General features: G+C 39.7%; 1 long non-coding RNA gene across 1 annotated transcript, besides 1 other annotated feature; it reads right to left on the bottom strand.

The window, feature by feature from the left end:
* Positions 489–990: an enhancer, noted in NCBI's record as "H3K27ac hESC enhancer chr16:26290511-26291012 (GRCh37/hg19 assembly coordinates)". NCBI's record gives its function as "activates a minimal SCP1, AML or CMV promoter by ChIP-STARR-seq in naive H9 embryonic stem cells {active_cell/tissue: H9 hESC(naive)}" and the evidence as "EXISTENCE:reporter gene assay evidence [ECO:0000049][PMID:30033119]".
* On the bottom strand, positions 1,785–4,194 carry LOC105371150 (uncharacterized). The gene is made up of 3 exons (XR_001752324.2): positions 4,062–4,194; positions 3,662–3,767; positions 1,785–1,872 (listed from the first exon to the last, which is right to left on the bottom strand). It is a non-coding gene; the product is annotated as an uncharacterized LOC105371150 (long non-coding RNA).
* Positions 4,195–26,804: the final 22,610 nt, after the last annotated feature.

Genomic DNA, 26,804 nt, shown 5'->3' on the forward strand with positions numbered 1-26,804 from the left:
TGATTCTATTGCTGAGACTTTCCAGTGCATTTTGCATTTCTATAAGGGTGTCCTCGATTTCCAGAAGTTGTGACTGTTTTTTACTTATGCTATCCATTTCACTGAAGAATATTCCTTTCATATCCTGTGTCATGTTTTTGATTTCTTTAAGTTGGAGTTCACCTTTCTCTGGTATCTCCTTGATTGGCTTAATCATCAACCTTCTGAATTCTTTTTCTGGCAATTTAGAGATTTTTGTCTTGGTTTGGATCCATTGCTTGTGGGCTGGTGTGATCCTTTGGGGGTGTTAAAGAACCTTGTTCTGTCATATTACCAGAATTGTTTTTCTGTTTCCTACTCATTTGGGTAGACTATGTCAGAGGAAAGATCTTGTACTCAAAGGCTGCTGTTCAGATTCTTTTGTCCCAAAGGGTGTTCCCTTGATGTGGTGTTCTCCCCCTTCCGCTAGGAATGAGGCTTCCTGAGAGCTGAACTGCAGTGATTGTTTTTGCTCTTCTGGGCCTAGCCACCCAGTGGAGCTACCTGGCTCTGGGCTGGTACTGGGGAGTGTCTGCAAAGAGTTCTGTGATGTGATCCATCTTCAGGTCTCTCAGCCATGGAAACCAGGACCTGCTCTGGTGGAGGTAGCAGGGGAGTGAAGTGGACTCTGTGAGGGTCTTTGGTTGTATTTTTGTTCGGTGCACTGGTTTTGTGTTGATCGGACTTTCAAGAGTACATCCGCTGTGGTACTATTGGTAGGAAGCAAACTCGCCCTAGGGTTACCTGGTTACATATTCAGGTTTCTCAGGTGGTAGGCAGGGCCATAGAACTCCCAAGAAATTATATCTTTTGTCTTGCGCACCCAGGGTGGGTAGAGAAAGGGTAGGCCCAGAGCTAGGTGTGTCTGAGCTCAGACTCTCCTTGGGCGGGGCTTGCTGCGGCTGCTGCGGGGGATAGGGGTGTGATTCCCCAGCCAATGGAGTTATGTTTCCAGGAGGATTATGGCTGCCTCTGCTGATTCATAAAGGTGGCCAGGGAAGTGGGGGAAAGCTGGCAGTCACAGGCCTCACCATGCTCCCATGCAACACACAGTCCTAAAGGCCAGTATCACTCCCACTGTGCCCCCCAACAGTACCAAGTCTATTTCCAGGCAGCTGGTGGCCAGGGCTGAGAACTTGTTCCAGACCACCAGCCTCCCCACTGAGAAAGCAATCAGACCTTACAGTTTTTTTAGCATCTCAGGGAAACTGTGGAAGCTACACAGTTCCTTCAGAGCATCTGTGGATTCTCTCAGCTTTCCTGGTATGTTGCCGTGGTAGTTCCTTGAGCAAAAGTTCACAGTGTGAGTCTCCACAAGCTGCTCCGTCTGTCCGAGCAGGAGCTGCAAGCTAGTCCTGCCTCCTATCTGCCATCTTCAGAACATGTCACAGGTATCAGTTTCCATTGGAGTTCTTCAACTAGGAAGATGTAAGTTTGAGGCTGCTGATGTCCACTCTTGTACCTCTGGCAGACAGCTTGAATGAAAATTAAAACAACTTGGAAAAAGTTGTGCCAAAATACATAAGGAGACAGATTCCTGATTCTATCATTGGGACACCTAGATCTAGCCATGCCTGAATCCCAATATTCTTGACTTTTCCATGTGCCAATATAATTTATGCTTAAACCAACTTGAATTATAATTTGCCAGGTGCCATTTAAAGGGATGTGACAAATACACATCATAATCTTTTCCCTCCTTCCTTTCCATACTTACCTCTCACCATTCCCCACCATGCATTTCAGTACTTTATTTGTATCAAAATCTTTGCCTGCTTTGAAACACATCAGTCACTTTTAAGCCTCTGTTCCTATGCATACACATTTTTATTTCGTTATACAATTCTGTCTTTCCTAGAAGAAATAAAACAGAGAGGAAAATTATGTCTTTTTAACTATATAATCCAATAGTCTAATATATCACTTATTTAACAATATGATCAATGTATCCTCCAGGCACTGTGCTAGGTGACAGATATCCATGTTGACCAAGACAGACTTTCTCTGCCCTTGTGGGAAGTATATTCAAGCAAGGAATATACTCACATGTTTCTGACTATTTATTCTTTTATTGTAGAGGTGTTTTCCTCTTGGAAATCAAGAAATGAAAACATGGATAAATTTCAAAAAACAAGTAACTGAATGGAATTGAGTAAAAAAACTTTAGAATAAGCTGCCGTCATTTTAAATTTATTTTACAGGGAAAATTTATTTTATATGTACAAGGAAGTTGGGATATATAGTTTGGACCCTCTGCCACTACCCCCAGACCATGGTCTCTTTACCAGTCTGTGTTATATTTTTATCTTTCTGCAAAAAGTGGTGAGAAACTACTATGACAAGTCATATCAGCATCCTGTGATCTAAATCACCACTTCTTTTAAGAATAACAAGTTCTTTTGCATGTTTATTTTATTTATGTTTGACAATCATTGTAGTCAATATCTGAGAATTAGATGAACTATGTAAAAAAAAATCAAATTCCTCTAATGGTTAGAAATAAAATTATCCCTTGTTATAGGTAAAATCCTGATGGAATCAGCTATTGATTGTCTGGCATATACCTTGGAACAGTTGATCCAATTGTAGACATTTTCTGTAAGGCTCAATGATTCTCTCATGTCAGATGCCTCCCAAATCCTGCACTCTTTAAAACCCAGACACGGAAGCCTGACTGCAAGCTTTTGGCTGAAAGACTAACATGGTATTTAAAAAGTAAAAGACTTTGGTCTCCTTTGTCCCACAAAGTTCAAATTTCCCCTACAGCAATAAACACCTTATCTGAGATGTATGCAGTATGGGCTAAAGTCTTCAACCATGAAATTATATGACTCTACCTTGACCTCTGGTTTTCTCCAGTGAATCTCACTGATAGAATACAAACAGCAGCTCTGGGCTGTTTCTCTGATCCATTCCGTGAATTCTGTAAATCTTGAGGAATGCAGACTTCCATACAAAGGTGTTCAGGTAGCAGCGACATCTTTATCTGTCCTCACTTACCCTGGGCAATACTGAGCGGGCCCAGGGACTCATGCTACATGATGTATGTATCTGACCGTTTTCCTGTCCATGCCTCCAGCAGGCAAGGAAGAGACTGGGCTCCCTCCGGATGTGAAAACCAAGGCCTTGTTACAGTGATGAGTAATGCTGATAAAATGCTATGTTGAGGCAGAAAACCAATCCCCCCAATTTGGTCTGACCGCTTACTGTAATTAGGAATGGTTTTCAGCTAACCTCTGGAATATGTGATATAATGTCACAGTACTCAAAGTGTGGACACTATAGACCAGCAGTATCAGAATCACCTGGAGTTTGTTACAGATGCAGAATTCCAAGCCTCATCCCGGATCTAATGAATCAGAGGCTTTGTCTGAACCAACTCCCAGGTGCTTCTTTTGCACATGAATGTTTCAGAAGTACTACTGTAGTGGAGCTCTGCTATTCCCATCTCAAACCCTCTCATCCTATTCTGATAAAAATACCCTGAATGCATTTTGTTTCTTTGGAGGAGTACCTAATTCTCTTAACCTTCAGACCCATGGGTGAGGAAATCAGTACGTCCCATTCTCTGACCACAGCCATTAGTTCAGGGATGGGCATGGGATTAATTGGAGGCAGAGGCCTTCAGGCCCATGACAATTACTTGAACCTTTGTGGGTGAGATGCTATCTTCACTTTTGCACTTGAACTTGGGAGGATGTGAGCTTGGTTAGCTGCCAAAGGCCATCTTGTAGAGCTTGATGATGAATCTACAATTAGAAATCAGAGGCAAGAAATGGGTAATAATGAACCTTTCTGGTCTTATTTTTAGCCCCTGGATCATGTACTGCTTGAAACCCTCCTCCATATTGCTAGTACAATGCAATCAATTTGTTTTAAGCTCTAAGCTTTGTGTTAGCTTGTGATGTTGTTTGACTATAAGTCAGTTTGAGTTGGTGTGTTAGGGATCTCCAAGGGGGTGTGTGTGTGTGTCTGTGTGTGTGCGCATGTCTGTGTGTGTGTGTGGAGACAGAGAGAGAAATTTACATTAAAAATTGGCTTACATGATTGTGGGGGCTAGCAAGTCTGAAATCTGTAGGGCAAGCTGGTAGGCTGGAGATTCACATAAAAGCTGAGGTCTTGAGTCCAAAGGCTGGAAACTCGGGCAGGATTTCTGTGGTGCAGTCTGAAGCCAGAATTCTTTCTCCATTGAGAAACCTCAGTCTTTGCTGTTAAGGCCTTCAACTGACTGGATGAGGCCCACCCATATTATGAAGAGTCATCTGCTTTCCTTAAAGTCACCTTATTGTAGATATTAACCACGTCTAAAACGTACCTTTACACCTCAAGGTTCTGTCCCAATTAGCTACAATATACTGATCTAATATCACTCTATGGAAATGTCTCATATACTTGAAATATATATTTAATAAGATAATGCCATCAACCAACACAGCTCTAAAGAAAGCCCTGGACTCAAGTGATCCTATCACCTCAGCCTCCCAAGTAGCTGACATTATATGCGTGAGCCCCAATGCCCAGCTCAGAATTTATTTATCTGGTAACTGAAGGCTTATGCCCCTTGAGTAACATCTCCCCATTTCCTCCACTCTCCAGCCCCTGGAAACCACCATTCTATTCTCTGTTTCTATTAGAGTGACATTTTTAGAGTTTACATGTAAATGAGATCATGCAGTAAAAAAAAGAGTAAAAAATTAAAAAAAAATAAAATAAAAAATACCTTTACAGCAAGAGCTAGACTAGTATTTGACGGAACAACTGGTCTTTCCAGGTTGGTACATCTTTCCAGATTGATACTTACAATTAACCACCACAATTGGGGATTTTGAACCTTGAAATGAGATGGTTGAAGGTGGGGCTAAAAATCCTTAGGGTTTAGAGGTGATGCTTCTACTCAGCCTAACATACATAACTGAATCCTAGCTTTCCGCTTTCTTTAAAAGGGTTGACTTGTTTAAGAAAATCAGCAAAATTATTTGCCCCCATTTTTGTTCTATGAAATCTAAGGAGCTAGAGTTGGGAAAGACTTTAAGATTTAATCAGGTTTTCAAATATCAATGATTTGCTTACTACTGTAATAATGATTTCTTCTCCCCATAGTTATGGTTCACAACACACAACACTCATGCCTACGTATGTGATATTTTTCTTTAAATATATATTATTCTTTGATAATGGAATTTATTTACAAAAGTAATCTTTATATTACTGCTATAAATGCAAATCCCACATCACTTGCCTTAAATTCATGAGTACTCACATAAATAAATGTGGAAGCAAAATGTTTCACAAGTCTTGCAAGATACTATTATCTGCAAAAATAATATCTGCATCTAACAATTTATTTCCCTTTTTTTTTTTAAAAAAAGGGAGTATAGTATAAAAATACAAAGCAAGTATCAAGGATTAAAGACAGATGAGACATTCTTCTTGAAATAAAAGGGTATAATTAAAAGGAAATTGAAAAGGAATAACCTTTTTTTGCTTGATTTTATGTTATTGAATGACATGACTGTGTAACATCTGCCATTAACAACTGTGGCGTGTGCCCCCATCCTTTAAGAAACACTAATTCCGGCCAGGCGCCGTGGCTCTCACCTGTAATCCCAGCACTTCGGGAGGCCGAAGTGGGCAGATCATGAGGTCAGGAGAGCGAGACCATCCTGGCTAACACGGCGAAACCCCGTCTCTACTAAAAGTACAAAAAAATTAGCTGGGCGTGGTGGCGGGGCCTGTAGTCCCAGCTACTCGGGAGACTGAGGCAGGAAAATCACTTGAACTCTGGAGGCGGAGGTTGCAGTGAGCCGAGATCGCGCCACTGCACTCCAGCCTGAGCGACAGAGAGAGACTCCATCTCAAAAAAAAAAAAAAAAAAGAAAAAAGAAACACTAACTCCAGTCTCACACTGATTGCATGATTTCCAGCTACTATGCTACTATAACCGTAAGGCAGTGCCCTACATTACTTGGACTCTTCCTGTGATGAGAAACTCATTACCTACTAACACAAATTCCATCAGTGGATACAGATATAAACTAGAAACCTCTGCTCTTTGCTGAGCTGAACAACCCCTTGCAGCTTCTACTGACTGAGATCACAGTGCTACCTCTTGGGGACACACAGACTGTGACCTTACCCTTACCCAAATCCCACATGCCAGCCTTCCAAAGACCTGAAGATGGCTCCTCCAGTTTCTGCTCATATAACTTCCATGTAAAATAATCATATTAGTTAAGCCTCAAACCAGACATCAAGAGCCAAAACATAGCAGGGACGTTGATACTTTGGAGAGTGGAACATTTAAATTCAGGACAGACATGTCCACCTGATCAATCTCACTCACCTCCCTCTCTCATTCTGTTCCAGCCACTGGGATTGTCTCCTGCTTTTTTTTTTTTTTAACATGTCAGTAAGTTCTTGCTTGGAGCTCTTTCCACTTTCTGTTCCTACTGCCTAGAAAGATACTTCCCAGTTCTTTTGAACAGCCCTCGTCTTATAAGTTGTCTCATTTTAAATGTCATTTCCTTGCAGAGATCTTTGAATAACCAAACTAAAGATTTTTTTGATCTCATAAAAACTTTATAGTCTCTGACCCTTTTTTATTTGCTTCACAACACATCACCCTCTCAAATTAACTTGTTGGTTTACTTGGTTTTTTAAATAAAAGTGTAAACCACAAGATAGCAGGGAATTCATTGCTTCATCTCCAATACTGAAAACAGTGCTGAGAACCCAGTTTGCATTTAGTAAGCATTTGTTAAATGAATGGATGGGGTCAAGATACAGTACTGATATTTTCAAGTTTTTGCAATGTATTTCCTCAGTCATTTATCTATGCATTTATATGCTCATTAAGTCAAAGTGTTTGTTTAATTAAGAGTAATATGTGTCTTCTTGAGTACTGTAAACCATCTTGCCACTCCCCTAATTTTACTCCAGTTTGCCTATTTCACTTTTCAAGTGCTTTGGGCAAAACTGAGTCTTCTATGTGTGTTCTGACCCCATTACAGTAGAGTACAACTTTCTTTATTCTGGGTAGTTTACTTCCATTAATAGAGTCTACCACCACATCAGATTTTTTGGCAGCCTTATCATTCTTGCAGTACTTATAAGCTTAATGTCCAAAAATAAAGGGGGCTGAGTTTCTTAAATATATTTTTCTGCTAAGCCGCATGTCTTGGGAAGCTGGCTTTTTAATATAAATCCAGGGCCTTGCATTCATCCTTGTTAAATTTCATCATATCCTCCGACAGGTATTTGTGTCATCTTTGCATCTCCCAATCTGTGGCTCTATTTGGGTTCAGGCAGACTGTGTAAGAGGTGATTTGCAGAGTAGCTTCATTGCAAGCAAAGGGTGAGTGAAAATTGAATGTACTGAGATCCTATTTCTCCACTGTATCCAGTGTGGGCCTAAACCAAGGCAAGGAAAAATGACACACCTTGGAAATATAAAAATATAACGATCCCAATGATAATAGTAAACATTCACTGTTTTGGCTATCTGTGACTGGGTAATGAATCACACCAAAATATAGTTGCTTAAAACAACAATTTTGTTATTTCTCACATTCTGTGATTTGACTCTTTTTTATGTAATATTCATGGAGGGACCAGGAAAGCCAGAAGTGTTGAAATGACCTCATTCACGCAATGAGTAGTTGGTGTTGGATGCTGTCTGGGAGTTCAGATGGGGCTTAGGATGGAGGCCTCCCTTCCTCATGTGGATCTCTGCACGTGGCTGCTGGGCTTCCCCACACCATGGAGACTGTGTGCCACTGTCAGTGTTCCCAGAGATATAGGTGCAAGTATAACCCTGTTAATCCCCAGCCTTGGAAGTTGCACATCTCTCTCTCACTACATTTTATTACTTATAAAAGTTACAAGGCTAGCTCAGATTTTGCAGATGAAGAAACTGAGGCTCAATGATAAGAAGTTGCACACTTGATCTGTTAGACCTTTCACTGGAGAGAGACTGAGCTTTGAGATTCCAGAAGCCAGGAGGCACCGTATCAGGGTTCTGTATGTGTGTATGTGTGTTAAATATTATTATTCAAAAGTAATACAAGTATATCCCAAATTTACAAGCGTTTATTTTTAGAAACTACAAATAAAAATAAATAAATAAAGTAAAAAATAAATACTTTTTACTAGTCTCATAGTTTGAGGTCTTAAATTTTTGTCTTTAATCCATCTTGAGTTGATTTTTGTATTATGGTAAGAGATGAGGGTCCAGTGTTACTCTTCTGCATATGGAAATCCAATTTTTCCAACACTGTTTGTTGAAAAGTGTGTCCTTTCCCCAATGTATGTTCCTGTTAACTTTGTCAAAGATCAATAGGCTGTAAATATGTGGCTTTATTTTTGGTTCTCAATTCTCTTCCATTGATTCACATGTCTACTTTTATACCAATGCCCTGCTGTTTTGGTAACTATTGTCTTGTAATATAATTGGAAATGAGGTAATGTGATGCCCCCAGCTTTGTTCTTTTTGCTTAAGATTGCTTTGGCTATTTGGGTTCTTTTTTGGTTCCATATGAATTTTAGGATTTTTTTGTTTCTTTAAAAAAATAAAAATCTAATTTTGCTTGGATCTTCTCTTTTTTGTCTTGGTTAGTCTAGCAAGTAGTTTATGAATTTTGTTTATTTTTTCAAAAAGCCAGCTATTATATTGTGATGTTTTCTTTTTTTTTTAGTCCTATTTTGATAGGGATTGCACTGAATCTATAGATTGCTTTAGGCAATCTGTACAGTCATTTTAAAGATATTATTTTTTCCAATTCATGAGCATGGGGGTGTTTTTCCATTTAGTTATGTCATCTATAATTTTTTATTAGTGTTTTTTAGTTTTCCTTTTAGATATTTTTTACTTCCTTGGTTAAATTTATTCCTAGGTATGTTATTTTTTATAGTTATTTTAAATGGGATAGCCTTCTAGATTTTTTTCTTAGCTAGTTGATTATTGGTGTATAAAACACTGCTGATTGTTATATGTTGATTTTGTATCCTGCAACTTTACTGAATTTATTTGTCAGATTTAAGAGGATTTTTTTTTGTGTGTGTGAAGCCTTTAGTTTTTTCTAGACATAAGATCAGATCATCAACAAAGAGGGACAATTTGACTTCCTTTTTTCCAATTTAGATGCCTTTTATTTCTTTCTCTTGACTGATTGCTCTAGCTAGGACTTCCAATACTATGTTGAATAGTAGTGGTAAGAGTGGGCATTATTGTCTTTTACCAGTTTTTAGGAAAAAAGGCTTTCAGTTTTTCCTTGTTTGGTATGATCTTAGCTGTGGGTCTGTCATAGAAGGCCTTTGTTATGTTAAGGTATGTTTATAATGTTAAGTTTGTTGAGAGTTTTTATCATGATGTGATGTTGAATTTTATCAAATTTTGTGTGTGTGTCTACTGAGATGATCATATGGTTTTTGTCCTTCATTCTGTCGATGTGATTTATTATGTTTACCAACTTGTGTAAGTTGAACCATCCTTGCATCCTTGAGATAAATTTTACTTGACCATGTTGTGTGCATCTGTGTGTGTGTATACATATATATATGATGTTGGATTCAGTTTGCCAGTATTTTCTTGAGAATTTTTGTGTCTATGTTCATCAGGGATATTGGCCTGTACTACTCTTTTCTTGTTGTGTCCTTGTCTGGTTTTGGTATCAGGGTAATGCTGGCATTGTAAAATTAGGATCATTCCCTCCTCTTTAATGTTTTGGGGTAGTTTAAGGAGAAATGGTGTTAGTACTTTTCGGAAAGGTTGGTAGAATTCAGCAGTAAATCCACCCAGTCCTGGACTATCCCTTGTTAGGAGATTTTTTTCTTTTTTAATTTACTGACTCAATGCCACCACTTGTTATTGTCTGTTCAGGTTTTCTGTTTCTTTCTGATTCTATCTTGGTAAGTTGTATATGTTTGGAAATTTGTCAGTTTCCTCTCAGTTTTCTACTGTGTGCGCATGTAATTGTTCACTATAGTCTTTGATGATCTTTTGTATTTCTGCGGTATTAGTTGTAATGTCTCCTGCATTTCTAATTTTGCTTGGATCTTCTCTATTTTTCTTGTCTAGTCTAGTAAGTAGTTTATGAATTTTGTTTATTTTTTCAAAAAAACCAGTTTTTATATTGTGATCTTTTGTGCTTTTTTTTTTAAGTCTCTATTTCATTTAATTATGCTCTGGTTTTAATTATTTATTTAGTTCTACTAATTTGGGGTTTGGGTGTTCTTGCTTTACTAATTCGTAGAGGAGCGTCACTATATTGTTCATATAAAATCCTTTCTTTTTTTTAAATGTAGGTGTTGATTACAATAAACCTCCCTCTAGGCACTACATTTGCTGGATCCCACAGGTTTTGATATATTGTGTTTCGATTTTTGTTTGTCTCAAGACATTTTTGATTTACTCTAATTTCTTTCTTGACCCAGTGGTTATTCAGGAGCATGTTGTTTAATTTCCATGTATTTGTGTAGTTTCCGAAGTTCCTCTTGTCATTGAGTTCTAGTTTTATTTCACTGTGATCTGAGAAACTGCTTAATAAGATTTCAATTTTTAAAAATTTTTTGAGGCTTGTGTTGTTTCCTAACATATGGTCTATCCTGGAGAATGTTCTGTGCGCTGATGAGAAAAATGAGTATTCTGGAGCTGTTAGATGAAATGTTCTGTAAATGTCTGTTAGGTCTATTTGTTATAATGTGCAGCTTAAACCCAATGTTTCTTTGTTAATTTTCTGTCTAGATCATCTGCCCAGTGCTGAGAGTGGGGAGTTGAAGTTCCAACTATTACTGTATTGGAGACTCTGTCTCCCTTTAGATCTAAAAATATTTGCTTTATATATCTGGGTCTTTTTCCCCTCAAGTTTTTACTTACTCGGAGATAGCCAAAAATAGAAATAGTTTTTTCTCCTAAATCTGCAAGTCCTTGTTTCAAAGTATTTCCTCTAAATTCTGTTTGAATATTGAACATTTCCTTCTTTAGACCATCTTACCCCAGCTCTCCCCACTCCCACTTTATTATAGGCAGTAAAAAAAAGCCAGTCAATACTTTCAACATTCTTCTGGAAATCTCTTTAGCCAGATCCACAAATTTATGGAGTGCATTTTCCTATTTCATACTTTACTATAGGTAGGTGTTGCCAAATGTCACATGTTTGCATAGGACAGGCTGCCTTTTCTCCAAATTCCAATAAAAATTTTCTCACTGCCTTTCAAGCCTCTAGTTACAGTCTCCTCACTGCCCTTCAGCTGCTACTGCTTTTCCATAACAAGGCCAATGCCACATTGGAACTCCTCATGGCCAGTTGGCTCCCTCACAGCATGGAGGCTTGGTTCCAAGGAGCAGTGTTCCAAGAGGTGAAGATGGAACCTTTAGATCTTTTAAGACATGGTCTTGCAGTTACACATCTCCCTCCTATCACATTGTATTGGTCATAAGAGGTCATAGGGCAAACCCAGATCTGAGGCAAGGGAGCACAGACTCCACCTCTCCATGAGGGAGTGGCAAGATCACGGTACACAAAAGTCCGTAAGATATGGGACATTGCTCTGGCCATCCTTGGAAACACAGTCTGCCTCATTTATGCAACACATGCTATGTCCTAGGCTCTGTTCTAAGCACATTCTATGTAATTATTAAACCATATGATTCTTAAACTCCTGTGAGATCAATTCATGTTGTCTTCATCTTACGGATAAGAACAAGGAGGCACAGATAAAATTACTAATATAATTAAGGTTACAAGTTAGTCAGTTGCAGGACTGGGGTTTGAGTTTGGGGCAAATCTGGCTTCTGAGCCTTTGTGCTTAACCTCTAGCCCTTTCTGCCTATCTTGTGAGGGCAACATGTATCACTAAGTGGTCAGATCTCCCAGAGTGAAGAAATTATCCTAAGGAGAACACACCTCTTATACTGTGTTCATTTATTCCTTTACTTATTCAAATGTTTATTGAAATCCTGCTAAGTACCAGGCACTGTTTTGGACATTGGAAGTATAATAATGAATAAGTCAGAAATTATTCCAGCTTTTAAGCAGCTTATAATACATATTAGGAAAACAGCTATTATGAATTCTTTGAATAATGGCTATTATAGTTTTCCTATACACGTCCAAAAAGCAATAAAATGCACTACTATGAGAGCTTTACATAATAGGATGATTTGGGATTTGGCCCAGGGTCTAAGACGTTTAAACATTTAACGTTTAAAATAATGATTTAAAAGACTGTACAAATGCCCTGCCTTTTGTCCCTCAGCAAGTGTCTCCCTCTTCAAACCTTCAAGTGTTACTTCTCCAGTCATAGAAGAAATCCAGTTGCTTGTCCAGGCTGAGCTTCCTTGAAAGTTGGCAGAGAGCATTGTGCCTACTCCCTTGGCCAAGGGCAGGGAGTCTGCTGGTTCTTGGTAGAAAATGGGAGGCCCTGGCCGGGCGCGGTGGCTCATGCCTGTAATCCCAGCACTTTGGGAGGCCGAGCTGGGCGGATCACGAGGTCAGGAGATCTATTCTGTCCTGGCTAACACGGTGAAACCCCGTCTCTACTGAAAATACAAAAAAATTAGCCGGGCGTGGTGGCAGGTGCCTGTGGTCCCAGCTACTCAGGAGGCTGAGGCAGGAGAATGGCTTGAACCCGGGAGGCGGAGCTTGCAGTGAGCCGAGATCGCGCCACTGCACTCCAGCCTGGGCGACAGAGTGAGACTCTGTCTCAAAAAAAAAAAAAAAAAAAAAAAGAAAAGAAAATGAGAGGCCCTGTCTTCACACATTTCTCATGATGTTAAGTCCCCATATCCTCCTGATTGTCCTTAGTACAAATTGCTTTTGACTGTGCTGATAGATAGATAGATTGAATAAAGCTTGAGGATCCACAGAATTCTTCCTGGGTAAAGTGACATTTTAAAAAAAGGTGAGAAACTGTGAATCTGATGGGCATCCATGCAAAAGTGCCATGCCAATTGTCTCTCTTGGGTGCCGATTTTAGTAAATGTGGGCGAAGTAGAGGTGATTATCACATAAGCTCTGTTGTCAGGAGTCTGACTTGAATTCTCTCCCTGAACACACTTGGAGTGTGACAATAAATGAATTACTCAATCTCTCTGAATGTCGTTTCCTCTTCTGTAAAATAGGAAAGAGGTGAAACCATTGAGAACTATTGTGAAGATCAAATAGGATGACATTGAACACAGTGCTTGGCACAAAGACAGAGCTCAGTGTTGGTAGCGTCTTATTAGATTACTAGTAATCTTGTTTAAGTCAAGAGAGAAGAAGGTTTGCAAGGAAAGAAGCAAGCCTTTATTTATCTACTCAGATAGGCATTGCACAGAAGGTATTAACTCAGCAGACCTGAGTTGCCCAAACTCTGCACATCCCAGAGGTCATCAGGAGCCAGTCCTTTAAGTCCTTGGAATATCCTAAGAGCGTCTTTGCCTCAGAAGAATGTCTTTGTATACCTGAGATCTTGAGCCATGTCAGATCATTTATGCTAACAATGTGATTTACAGTAAATGGTCATTATTATATGCCTGGACTTTGGGCCATACTGTATCAATTCAACATCATGTTGGGGGTTGTGGAATAGATGCTGAGTAACTAAGGCCAGTCATATGGGTGGCCCATGCCTCCATGACTTATCTTTAGTAAAAACCCCAGACAACAAGGCTCAGGTGAGCTCCCCTGGTTGGCAACTTCACAGGTATTGTCACATATTATTTCTGGGAGAATTAATGACTCCACTGAGAGAGGACAGCTGCAAGCTCAGGTCTGGTTTTTCCTAGACTCTGACCTATGTGTATTTTTTTTTTTTTTTTTTTTTTTTGCTGATTTTGATGTGTATCCTTTGACTGTAATAGAGTAGAACTGTGAATATAATACCTTTCTGAGTCCTGTGAGTCCTTCTAGTGAGTCCTCAAATCTAGGGTGGTCTTAGGCTTCCCCAACACAGGTACTGTGCTGGGTCCTGCCTTCATGACATCTTACTTAATTTAATCTTCATCACCACTAAGCAATGAGACTGATATACACAGAGGTAATATTCTAAGGTGAGGCTGTGAGGCAGGCTTACCCATTTAGTAAGTGTTCAGCCAGGGTCTGAACCCAGGACTGCCAGATTTCAGAGAATTGGGTGTTACTTGGGCTGGTAGTTTCCATGGACCAAGTACACATATGGGACAAGGGCACTGTGTCCAGGCACTAATAACACCAATTTCTCTGGTCTGATTGTGGTTTCTCTTGGCTAGTAGAAAACATGAGGTATGAGACAGAGGCAGAGAGAAGTGGACAGAGTATGAGAAATGACAGCCTTCTACCCCTCAGTCATCACCTGCTGAACTATCTATAAATTCTTTCCAGGAACTAGAGAAGGTGCACATCAGGAAGCAAGTGTCCCTCATAGACCAGGGTAGCCAGAAATAAAAAAGGAAAACAGACTGAGTCTTAAAGAATCTCTTGCTGGTTTTTTTCTATATTTTCTATTAAAAACATTTTTTTGAGGAACAAAACATATCTGTATGCACTGATAGAGAAACATCTCCAATACAGACTATCAGGAGGTAACAACAAGGTGTAGAAAGATGTATAGTGTATAGTTTTTGTGTAAAACAAAAGAAATGCACATACACCTCCATACATATACTTAATATCTTTTATATTTGTAATATATATGTATATATATGACATAACAGTATCTGTTACCTACGTATCTATGTGTATTAGTCTGTTCCCATGCTGCTAATAAAGACATACCCGAGACTGGGTAATTATAAAGGAAAGAGGTTTAATTGACTCACAGTTCCACATGGCTGAGGAGGCCTCACAATCATGGTGGAAGACAAGGAGGAGGGAAGTCACATCTTACATGGCAGCAGGCGAGAGAGAGAGCCTATGTAAGGGAACTCCCCCTTATAAAAACATCAGATCTCATGAGACTATTCACTCTCAGGAAAAAAGCACAGGAAAGACTCACCCCTCATGATTCAATTACCTCCCATTTTGTCCCTCCCATGACACCTGGGAATTATGGGAGTTACAGTTCAAGATGAGATTTGGGTGGGGACACAGCCAAACCATATCACTATGTATCCATCCCTCTCTACCTATTTTTACATATATATGATATGTACATATATGTATGATATACACACATATACATATATATGATTTTTACATATCATATATATGTAAAAATATATATGATATATATAATATATAACTTTTCTGTCCTTATATTCCAAATATATATCCAAAGATATATATTATGTATAATATTTATATAATATATACGTTTCTTGTCCTTATTGTTCAATTATACTTTTTCTTGTCCAATTACACAAATGTTAAATCATTTCATATTGCCCCATATGTCTCTTATGCTCTTTTTTGTTTTCAATTTTTTTGTCTCTTTTTGTTACAATCTGTAATTATTTTCATAAAGTTCTCTGTTTCTATTCAATGATTTTTCCCTCTGTTGATTCTCATCTGTTATTAAATTTATCCATTGAATACTTAAACTTTGTTGTTTTATTTCTCATTGCTGAAGTTTTGATTTGATACTCTTTTATAGATTCCAATTCTCTGGTAAAATTCTTCACCCTCTTGTCTATTAAATTGAACGTGTTGATCAGAGTTATTTCTAAGTCTGTGTCTCATCTTCAATATTGGCATCATCTGCGAGTCTGTTTCTACTAGAGTCCTTCTCTCTTTGCATGTCTGTATCTATATGTTTGCCTGTATATGGAAGGAAACACAGAAATAAGGAGAAGTGGTGTCCTCTGAAAAAGGGACTTGAGATATCAGAGATTATGTTAATTTTCTTTTTTCTTTTTGAGGTGGAGTCTTGCTCTGTTGCCCAGGCTGGACTGCAATGGCATAATCTCAGCTCACCGCAACCTCTACCTCCTGGGTTCAAGCGATTATCCTGCCTTAGCCTCCCAAGTAGCTGGGATTATAGGCACACGCCTCCATGCCCAGCTAATTTTTGTATTTTTAGCAGAGACAGCATTTCACCATGTTTCCCAGGCTGGTCTTGATCTCCTGACCCAGGTGACCCACCCACCTCGGCCTCCCAAAGTGCTGGGATTACAGGCGTGTGCCACTGTTCCTGGCCAAGGAGTTATATTAGTTTTCTATTCCTGCTGTAACAAATTGCCACACAATTGTTTAAAATAATCCACAGTATCTTATAGTCTGGAAGCCCTGAAATGGGTCAGCAGGGCCACATTCTTACTGGAGGCCTGAGGGGACAACCCAGTTCCCTGCCTTTCCTGGCTTCTAGAGGCTCCCACGTTGCTTCTCTGCAACCCCTATTTCCGTCCTGATATCTCCTCTGACTCTGACCCTCCCGCCTCCCTCTTAAAAGGACTCTTGGGATGACACTGGACCTACCTGGATGATCCAGGATAATTTCTCCATCTCAAGGTCCTTAGTTTAACTACATTGGAAAAGCCCTTTTCGCCCCTTAAGGTAGCATCTTCACAGGTTGTGAGCTTTAGGATGGGGACATCTCAGGGGACTATTATTCCACCTCCCACGAGGGTAGAATGAAACTTCACTGTCACTGGATAGAGCCGTGCATTTAAAATGTGTATCATGTGTGGTATTACCTAATCAAAATTTAAAGTTGTATTTATGTTTGATAGGACAATTCCTGCAATGATTTTAAAAGCCAAAGAGTGTGTGTGTGTGTGTGTGTGTGTGTGTGTGTGTGTGTTAAATTAAGCCTCCTTTCCATGCCTGGGGTGTTCCTTCTCTGAAGCAGACATTTTACTCATTTTTTTGCGTATCAGTCTGCATTTTCTGAAGAAGAAAAAAGGGGAATGGGAAAGGACATGGTCCCCAGTTGAAGGAGGGGTAGGGTGGGCTGCTGTGATGTCGTCTGCCTGGATTGAGACCTCCTTCTGTTTCTCTTTGGGCATCTAAATCTTTCACAAATCCAGCAAATGTATATATTTCCTGACTGTAGGCCAAACATCATGTTAGATCCTGGGGTACCAATCAGGCTATGCCCCCAGGCGGCCTTGGCTCTGGCGGGAGGCAGGCAGTAAGAATGCACTGACGACATGTCAGAGAACGTGTGGCCTTAACAGCCACAATTCCAATCCTGTGTCTCAGCCCGGCTGAGCCTCGGGCCTCCTCCCTGTGCAGCTGAGTGCTGGGGTCGGGGGAGAGGAGAGATCTGCTCAGCTGCTAGCCCCAGGAAAATGCTGTACATCTTCCAGGATGGCCTTTCTGCTGTGTATTTATGCCTAGGCTCATGTTCCAAGAAAATCCCATGATCAACCAAAGCATGATTTCCCTGGGAACCAGAGGGACGTGAGGCCGTCAGCCCCTCTGATATAGGGACTTCCCTGGGCTGTTTTCTCAGCAACTCACAGCTACAGGGCAGAAAAATATAGATGATGCATAGTGCTCTGGCTTTCTCTCTCCTCCTCTGGGGATCCTGGGGCTTGGGTGATTCATTTTAGTGCCTCTAATCAGGCCCTGAGCTCAGGGCCTCGGAGGGAAGGAGGATTCCTTCAGAGGGGTGAAGTTTGGCTGTCATTGATGGTTACCCTTGGGTTGGTACCATGCGCTGGGACGTTCAGAGACTGATTTTCCTTCTTATATCTGACAGTACATTTTGGATCTTTAAAAGCCCCAACTATTCCAGACACCCATGCAAGTCATAAGCCACAAAGGTCAGTAAATTTCAGACCAAAAATAAAAAAGCAAGGGAGAGAGAAATGCACAGTGACAGAATGAGATGCAGACACCAGAGATACACAGGCCCCCAAGGAACGGCCAAAGAGCTGCCTCTGAGACGGAAATGCCAGAAGTACAGAGGAGACACACACCTGAAAAGACTGAATATTATCGGGAAAAAGACACACCCAGACACACCAAGGCTCAGCGGCACTGCTGTCCTCAGGTGCTCCGAGATGAACAGGCAACCTGAGAGCTTCTTAGGACAGGCCGGATCCCTCAGGGTCGACTCCCATTCCCACTATTTTTATTTCCAGCCTGCAGAATCACCTCTTCTTCATAGTAGGAAAGAACTCTGCAGACTGGGAAACCCCTGCAACCTGCCACTGCAATAAATTAGATCTGCCACTTGCAGACCCTAGTAGGCAAGTGGTATTAACTAGACTTCAATAGCTATACAAGAAAGATACATGCACACAGTACACAGAAGGCTGTGCAGTCATAGGATCCATTTTTTATGGGAAGTGTTCCCTTCTCCCAGACATTTAGCAAAGAAGTGATTCTAGAACAGCAATCACAAAGGTGGAGATGAGCGAAGCAAAATCCTAATTTATCCAACCCTTTTATTGAATAGCTGAGCAAATGTAGTACACGAAACTAGGGGAACCATTAAATGTCACAAATTCAATACGGAAGCCAGGTAGAAACCAGACATCTTTGGCCATGGCTTAGGGTCTTGGATCAGTAGGATTTTGCCTCTCCATTGGAATGGCATCTTACTCTGCTGTGGCAAACAAAGCTGGATCCCAGAATTCAAGCATCAGTCTCAAGTGACTTGGGAACTATAAACGGCTCTTTTAAAGGTGATCATAATTATTTCCCTCTTTGATAGAGCACAAAGGGGGTGCCCTGTCTAACACTCCCACAAGATCTTGGCACAAAAGGGATGAATATGCAACTTTGGTTTCTCGCTGGCATTTAAAAGCCCTCATTTAGGAGTAGGATTTATTAAATATTATAATCAGTTCAGTGTCGCCTGCTGAAACATTTACTTTAATGGGCTTGTTAAATTTAGATTATGTTAAAAAGAAAAAAATTTAGATTATGTTAAAAGGAAAAAGAGAGAGTGAGAGAAAGAAAGACATTCCCCTGTCTCTGAACTCTTGGGCTGCCAAATCCTCATTGGATACATACTGAAGAAATAGCTCCCAGCCATGATAATTACCCGGATTGCGGGAGGAAGGGGGTGACATTTCAAGATGATGTGAGAGGACGTTTTGTTTGGTAAAGACACCCTCCTGATCAAAACCTCTTTATTTTGGAAAGAGCAACATAAACCTTTCTTTTTTCCTTTCTGCTTCCCATCCTTCCTTTCTTAAATGGTATTTTAACTTAATTTTAATCACATGAGTAACACGTGATATTTATGTTAGTTTGTATTGTGTTGCTATAACAGAATACCTGAGGCTGGCTCATTTACAAAGAAAAGAGGTTTATTTGCCTCATGATTCTGGAGGCTGGAGAGTTCAAGATGGTGCAGCTAGACCTGGTGAGAACCTCATGCTTCTTCCACTCTTGGCGGAAAGTGGACAAGAAAGGGGAGTGAGCATGTGCAAAGAGAACAAATGGTCACAGTGGAAGCAAGAGAGAGAAACTGAGGAAGCCAGAGTCCTTTTAACAGTCTGCTGTCTTGGGGACTAATCTATTTCTGAAAGAGGGATAACTCACTCACCCCCAAGAGAGTGCATTAATCTAGTCATGAGGGATCTACCCTCATGACCCAAATGCCTCCCACTAGGCCCTGTTTCCCAAGACTACCACATTGGAGGTCAGCTTTCAACTTGAGTTTTCATGGAGACAAACCATATCCAAACCAAAGCAATATTAATAGCTGACATTTTTTGATGCCTTGCTATGTGCTAGACACTGTTCTAAGCATTTACCTGCATTGATATTTTAAATCCTCTGATTGCATTATTAAGTGGTATTATAATTATTGCTATATTACAGGTGAGAAAAGTGGAGCATAGCGAGGTTAGGCAGTGGGTCGAAGGTCACATAGCTGGTAAATGACAAAGCCAGTATTCAAACTCAGGTGCCTGACACTGAAGATTATGCATCTATCTAACTGCTATGCTATACTGCACAGATATTCATTCACCCATAGAACTAAAGTTTTTCCGTATAAAGCCAAAATTTTCTTTAATCAACCTAATCCCTGTCTTCTCCTTATACCCCATATTAGCCATTACCATCAGCTTGGGAAGTGTTCCCCATGTCTATGAAAATAAATAAAATCACTGTGTGTATTAAAGCAATGATGTCATTCTGTATCATTCTTGTAACTATTTCTTCAGTCAAAAATATTTCATTTTATACCTGTATAATATTCTATTCTATTTAGCTACTCTCTTCTTGACAGATATTGAATTTAATTTTTAAAAAAGTAAATAATGTTCAGTGTATATGTAAGTTTGTCTTTAGGGAAGATAGAAAAAAATGGAATTACTTAGGTCATTTTTTGTTTTTGAACAGATATTGCCAACTTAATGTTCTTAATGGCAGTACCTGAACGTTACTATTACTTCAATCTCTCTTTTTCATAATTAAACTGAAAAACAAACAAACAACCAACCAATAAAAAAAAAAAAAACACTTGGCCAGCCAGGCGCAGTGGCTCACACCTGTAATCTCAGCACTTTGGGAGGCCGAGGCATGCAGATCACAAGGTCAGGAGTTCAAAACCAGCCTGGCCAATATGGTGAAACCCCATCTTTACTAAAAATACAAAAATTAGCCGGGGGTGGTGCTGGCACCTGTAGTCCCAGCTACTTGGGAGGCTGAGGCAGGAGAATTGCTTGAACGGGAGGCGGAGGTTGCAGTGAGCCGAAATCGCGCCACTGCACTTCAGCCTGGGTGACAGAGAGAGACTCCGTCTCAGAAAACAAACAAACAAACAAAAACCTTGCTAACCTTATGGGTAAAAAATACAAGTGCTTCTCTCTACCCTTCTGTGAGAGTTAACCACCTTGGCTACTGCCTTTCAATGTGCAGTTCTACACAGCTGGGCCTACTAACGGTCAAGTTCAGGTTTTCCTTGGTTCTAAGGCAAGTTTGGCAAAAAAAAAAAGGTTATTTATATCTCTTCTCTACTTTGAGTCCTGGCAATTTGGAGCCAAGTTGTAGCTGTTCAACATTCTAGGCTATGAGACCCCTCACCCACCAAGATAAAAACTATGTTCAATTTAGAAGCAAAATCAAAATCTCCCACTCTTTGGTGTATTCATTAATGTTACTATCCAGCCCTGAACTTGACAAACACTTAATGAGAACTTTCTATGCGCAGACACAGTGCCACGTGCTGGGGAAACAAGGATGAGAAAGATAAATGCTCTCCCATCCTCATAGAGCTTCATGTGTCTGTGATTGTCCAGTTCATAGAATCGAATGTCCACTTGGGTCTTCTCTAGTTTATAAAAACTGTTCCCCACTCACCTTCCATGAACTTCACCTTGAATCCAAGACCACGTTTTTGGGGACCTGGTGCTTTACAAAGCACCCAGTCCACATCTATGAGGGTTGCCTACTACCTCCAACCTCCATTCTTCTTGTGGGACTTCTACAGGATCTATATGAATATTTTAGAAATACTCAGTTTAGATTTAGATTTGCTATTATTGTGTCAGGTCTGTTGAAATAGTTTAGTATAGACTGGTCCTAAACCTTGAAATGAAATACCCTTTCTTTCTACTAGAAGACAACTTTTCATGAGTCTCTTGCATTTCTGCCTAACTTGAGAGCAGATGAACTGACCTCAAAAAACAGAGATGGTGTGGTGTAATAAAAAACATATTTGGCCTTCATCCTTGGTTCCTGATGCAGAGCTTCTAAAACCCTTGGAATTTCCTGAGTCATAGGAGCATCTTTTGTTCTTCATAACAAGCCCCTTTCAACCTGAGTTTATGCTACTGAAGTGACTCTTGGTGGGCACCTGCGTAGCTTCAGGATGGGGACTGGTTGCCAGAAAACCATATGATTAGAGGGTTGGAACTTCCAGCTCTACTTCTGACCTCTAGGGAGGGGAGAGGGTTGGAGATTGAGTTCAATCCCCCAATGGCCAATGATTTAATCAATTATTCCTGCATAATGGAACCTCCATAAAAACCTCTAAGCAATAGAGTTTGGAGAGCTTCTGGGTTGAACACATCAAGATGTTGGAGGGTGGTGTGTCCAGAGAGGGCATGGAGCTCATACCTTGTCTCATGCTTCTCTTCCATTCGGCTGTTCCCAAATTGTATCCTTTTTAATAAACTGGTAATAGCAAGCAAAGTGCTTTCCTGAGTTCTGTGAGTCATTTCAGTAAATTATTGAATTTGACATGGGAAGAAAGGTCATGGGGCTTGTAACTGGCATTGGAAGTGGTAAATAATCTTGTGGGATGGAGCTCTTAACTTGTTGGGTTTGGGCTAACTTCAGATAGTGTCAGAAATGAATTGAATCATTGGGTGCCCAGTTGGGGTCAGAGAATTAGAGAAATGGAGAATTGCTTAAAAGGTATCCCAGGAAAAAAAGAACCTGAGGGATAGTCTCCCTCTGGAGCAATGGGTAGGTAGGCTTACCACTTGTTATAAAAGATATGGATTCCTTAAACTCAGGGTTCTTCTCCAGTAATGCAACCTTCTGCATATGCAAATGTCATTTCATCCTCTCTGCATTATCCTGTAAAAATTGAGTCTCATGGGACCATGATACATGCTGAAGGGTTGTTCCTGATTATTGCTATGCTTAATACACTTTATTTCTGGCTCAGGAGCCTCTGTCTTCTACCAGCATCAATGAAACTGTGGCAGTTTGGCTTGCTAGCTTGCAAACAGGGAAATGTCTGAGACATTTCACAGTTACTGACACATGTATTTACCCATTAAATAAAATACTTATTGAGTATCTGCTATATGACAACTACTAGGGGTTCACAGATGAATCAGATAGTCAGGTCCCTGCTCTCATGGAGTTTCCATGCACAGTGAAGGAGGCATGCAAAATAGAAGCATTTATGGATTGTGAAATGTGCTAGGAAGGGAATAAATAAGTGCAGTGGTAGAGACCAACAGGTATACTAGGGTAGGTTGGTGAGATAAGGCCTGTCTGTACAGATGACCACATTGGTGAGAATTGAGAGGTATATTTGTCATTCAAGTGCTCCAGGAAACACAAGGATGGAGGCACTGAGGTGGGATGGAGCCCAGTGTCTTCCACAAGCTGACTGGTGACACAAGTGACCCCATAGTAGATGAAAGCAAGTGAGTCATATGAGGTGATCAGAGAAGTAGCAGGAAACACCCGTCCTTGAACTCACAGTATGAAGGTTGTATTTCATTCAAAGTGAAAATGGAAATCATAGAAAAGTTCAAGCCACAGAGAGTAGGGAGGAGCAGCAACTCATTTACATCTCGTAACAATTTCTCTGGCCACCTAGTAAAGAAAGGAACAAGAGTGCTTCTCCTAGGACCTCCTGTCTGGACCACCCAGTGCCTTCTCTGAGCCCAGCCTCAACTTCCCCTCTTCCCCTCCCCCGGCCCTGTGAGTGCGTTTCTGACCCACCTCTGCTGGCTCTCCCATTCTCCCTTCTCACTGCCCCTAGGTTGCTGAGCAACCCAGAATGCCTCTCACCTCAGTGCGCAGGGAACAATGGTTTTTCAGCTCAGGGCTTGAGAAGGGCAAAGAGGGAATCCAAAAGCAGAAATATGGGCAACCCTTCAGAATGGGCCATTGTTCAGCTGGGAGCAGAAAGGGATTTGCAACAGACAAAAAGAGAAGGTACACCTTTTGTCAGGAAGGGATTGTAAAACCATCCATGAGAACACATGCCCAAAGCATTAAAATTGACATCACAAATACGGTTGATAGAACAAGACAGCGGGACATATTGCAAACAGAATGTGACAGACAATGTCTATGAAGAAAACAATGGTCAACAAAACGGTGCCATACACACATTATAAGGAGATATTATGCAGCTAAGTGAGAAGGACAAGTTGCAAAGTCCTGTGTGTAATATGATCCATTTAAAGCAAACATTAACGACTTGAAAAGCAAGTCTATGTTTATGTGTTTGCATATATATATAAAATCATGAAGAACAGTGTGAAAAGTTACCTTTTCAGACCTTGTTGGAAAGGTGATCCTCAACCTTGACTAAATATTAGAGTAATTCTAATAATTTCTAATAAAAATTAGAAAATTTCCTTCATAGCTACCACAAAGGTTAATACTACGAAACTAAATATTTTCAATAAAATTCTTGTTTTTAAATAGCTTTAGATTATAGGAAAGATTTTTGCAAGATTAGCATACATTATCATGTATGTCCTTCATACCTATGGTATATTTGTCGAAACTAAGGAACGAACATTGATATATTATCGTTAACCAACTCCAGGCTTTAATTTGTATTTTACCAGTTTCTTCCACTACTGTCCTTTTTTCTGTTCGAGAATCCAATTAACGGTACAACACTGCTTTTAGCTATCACGACTTCTTAGTCTCTTCTGGTCTGTGACAGTTTCTCAGCCTTCTCTTAATTTCCTCACCTTGAAAGTTTTGAGGAGTACTGGCCAGGTATTTTGTCAAATGTTCCTCAAGTTGAATTTGTCTGATGTTGATTCATAATTAGACTGACATTATGGGTTTTGGGAAGTACCAAGGGCAGGTCATTTGTCCTTCTTAGCACATTCTATCAGGGATTTGCTACCAACAGTCACTGGTGACATTAACCTTGATCACTTGGCTAAGGTGGTGTCTACCAGGTTTCTCACCTGCAAAGTTACTATTTTTCCTTTCCCTTTCCATAGCCTATTGTTTGGAAGTGAGCCACTAAGTCCAGTCCCCATTTAGGGGGAGGAGTTTAACTACAACTCCTAGGTAGGGGAAGACATACATTTATTACTTGGAATTGTTCTGTGAGGAATATTTGGCTCTTTTTTCTCATTTATTTATTATCAGCAAAAACTTGTGTATGTTTATTTTATACTTTAGGTTTTATTCCAATGCTACTTTATTTATTTTGTTTCTCAAATTGTTCCAGTCTTTGGCACTGCAGTTTCTTTCCAGTTGGCTCTGGGGTTCCCTTCGTATCCCCTTGCCTTTTTTTTTCTTTATTACCACTCTCTTACTTTCTGGCACTATAAAATACTCTAGTCTCATATTTTGTATTTCCTTCCCCAGCTTTAGACTCAGACATATCTCTGAGAATGGTATTTAGAAACCAAGGTCTGGGAAGAGGCATTCTCATTGCTATAGGGGTGTCACAGCTTCTGAGACTTCTCTGTGGATAGAGGTAGGAAATATATGTGTATACAATCCAGGTGTACACACATGTCTAGAATTATTGTTGAATCTCAACCTCTCTGTCTTTGTAAACACACACACACACACACGGAGCACTAATGAAGGATATTTCGTTGCTTCATTAGTAAGAACATAAACTCACACATTCATACGTATATATATACAAATACATATATGTGTATATGTATATATATGTATGTGTATATAAATAAACTCATACACGCACATATATACACACACATACACATATAAACACACACACACAGAGGGAAGGGGAAATAGATATTTGTTGTTGCTCTCATGGTTTAAATTAAACATAAGTTCATACTGATGTCTTCAACTCTAAACCAATACTCAAGGATTCATTCCCCTTTCCTTCTTGCTTGTTTGTAATTTCGTCTCTGATAGTAAAAAATTTGGCTGTTGTTATCCTCCATTTATTTACTTACTTGCTTAACCCTCTATTAGATGTAAAATACTTTGAGAATTACCAACTGTAGGTACCCCTATGACAAACAAATTTATAAAATAAAGTTCAATGTTTCTATAAAGTTCTTTTTGTCCTTGACCTTACAGTTTCCAGTCAAAATGCCATTTTCCAAAGTCACCGAGATCAAATTCTGTTTATATCACTTCTGGGGAACTTTAAAAAAAAACACTGATGCCTATAGCCTAACCCAGATCACTGAAATATCCTTGAAGGTGAGTCCCTAGCCTGAACAGTTTTAATAATTTTGAAATATACAAGGTAAATGTTTTTATCCCAAAAAATGCATGCAAGATGATAAATTTATCAATTAGATTGATGAAATCATTCCACAATGTAAATATATTGCACAATTTAAACACAATGTAAACATTGTACCACACAAATACATAATTTACACAAGTATTATTTGTCAATTAAAACTAAGTACATTAAATTAAAATAAAATAAACATTTTAATTATCCCCAGGAGGAGCAATAGCTTCAAACCCATTGAGAATCATTGAGAATCATCACTTCAGAAATTAGAAACAAAGAGTTTCAAGTATTGTTTTATGTATTTCATTGTTTCATTAATTAATAAGAACATAATTCATTTGTAATTTAAAACAAAATAAGAAAGTAAAACTTTTTTTTTTGATAGGATGAGAATAGCAGTCACAGAAACCAACCCCTCTTCCTGGTTTTTCCTCTTAAGGGCTGTGTGACATCAGAAAAGCAATTTAAACACTCTGAGTCTCTGCCTCTTTGTCTGTAGATTCGCTCTAATGCCACTCATTTATCTTCCTTACATGGCTTTTCCTCACATCCCAAGCCAGCTGAGACAATGTCTGTGAACACATTTCGATGATCTTGAAGAACTATTCAAATGGAAAGAATTGTTGTTACTAAGTTATGTCACCTAATGAGTTGTTCTTCAGACCCTTGAGAGCTAAGGAAGACTCTGTGACTTGCATAATTGCTGTAGCCATTACCCACATCAACTGGCCTGACATGGAGGACAATGGCCAACCGGGAGGAGAGGAATGGAGCAGATATGGAGAAAAGAGAAGCACCATGAATGATAGCACACAAAAGACATAAGAAAGAGAGGAGGTCGTCTTCTGATTTGCCTTGGTTCCTGAATAGCTTTCTAGGTCTACTTATAACCTGTGAATCTCTCCGCTATCCAGTAGAGCTACTGTATATTTTGTATTATTTCCAGGGATCTCTAATTTAATAGTGCACTGGGTTTCTCTAATATGGTAGAAAGTGATAACAAATTTGCATGTTAATCCTCACGT

This window comes from Homo sapiens, chromosome 16 (genome assembly GCF_000001405.40).
Source record: "Homo sapiens chromosome 16, GRCh38.p14 Primary Assembly".
NCBI lineage: Eukaryota > Metazoa > Chordata > Mammalia > Primates > Hominidae > Homo > Homo sapiens.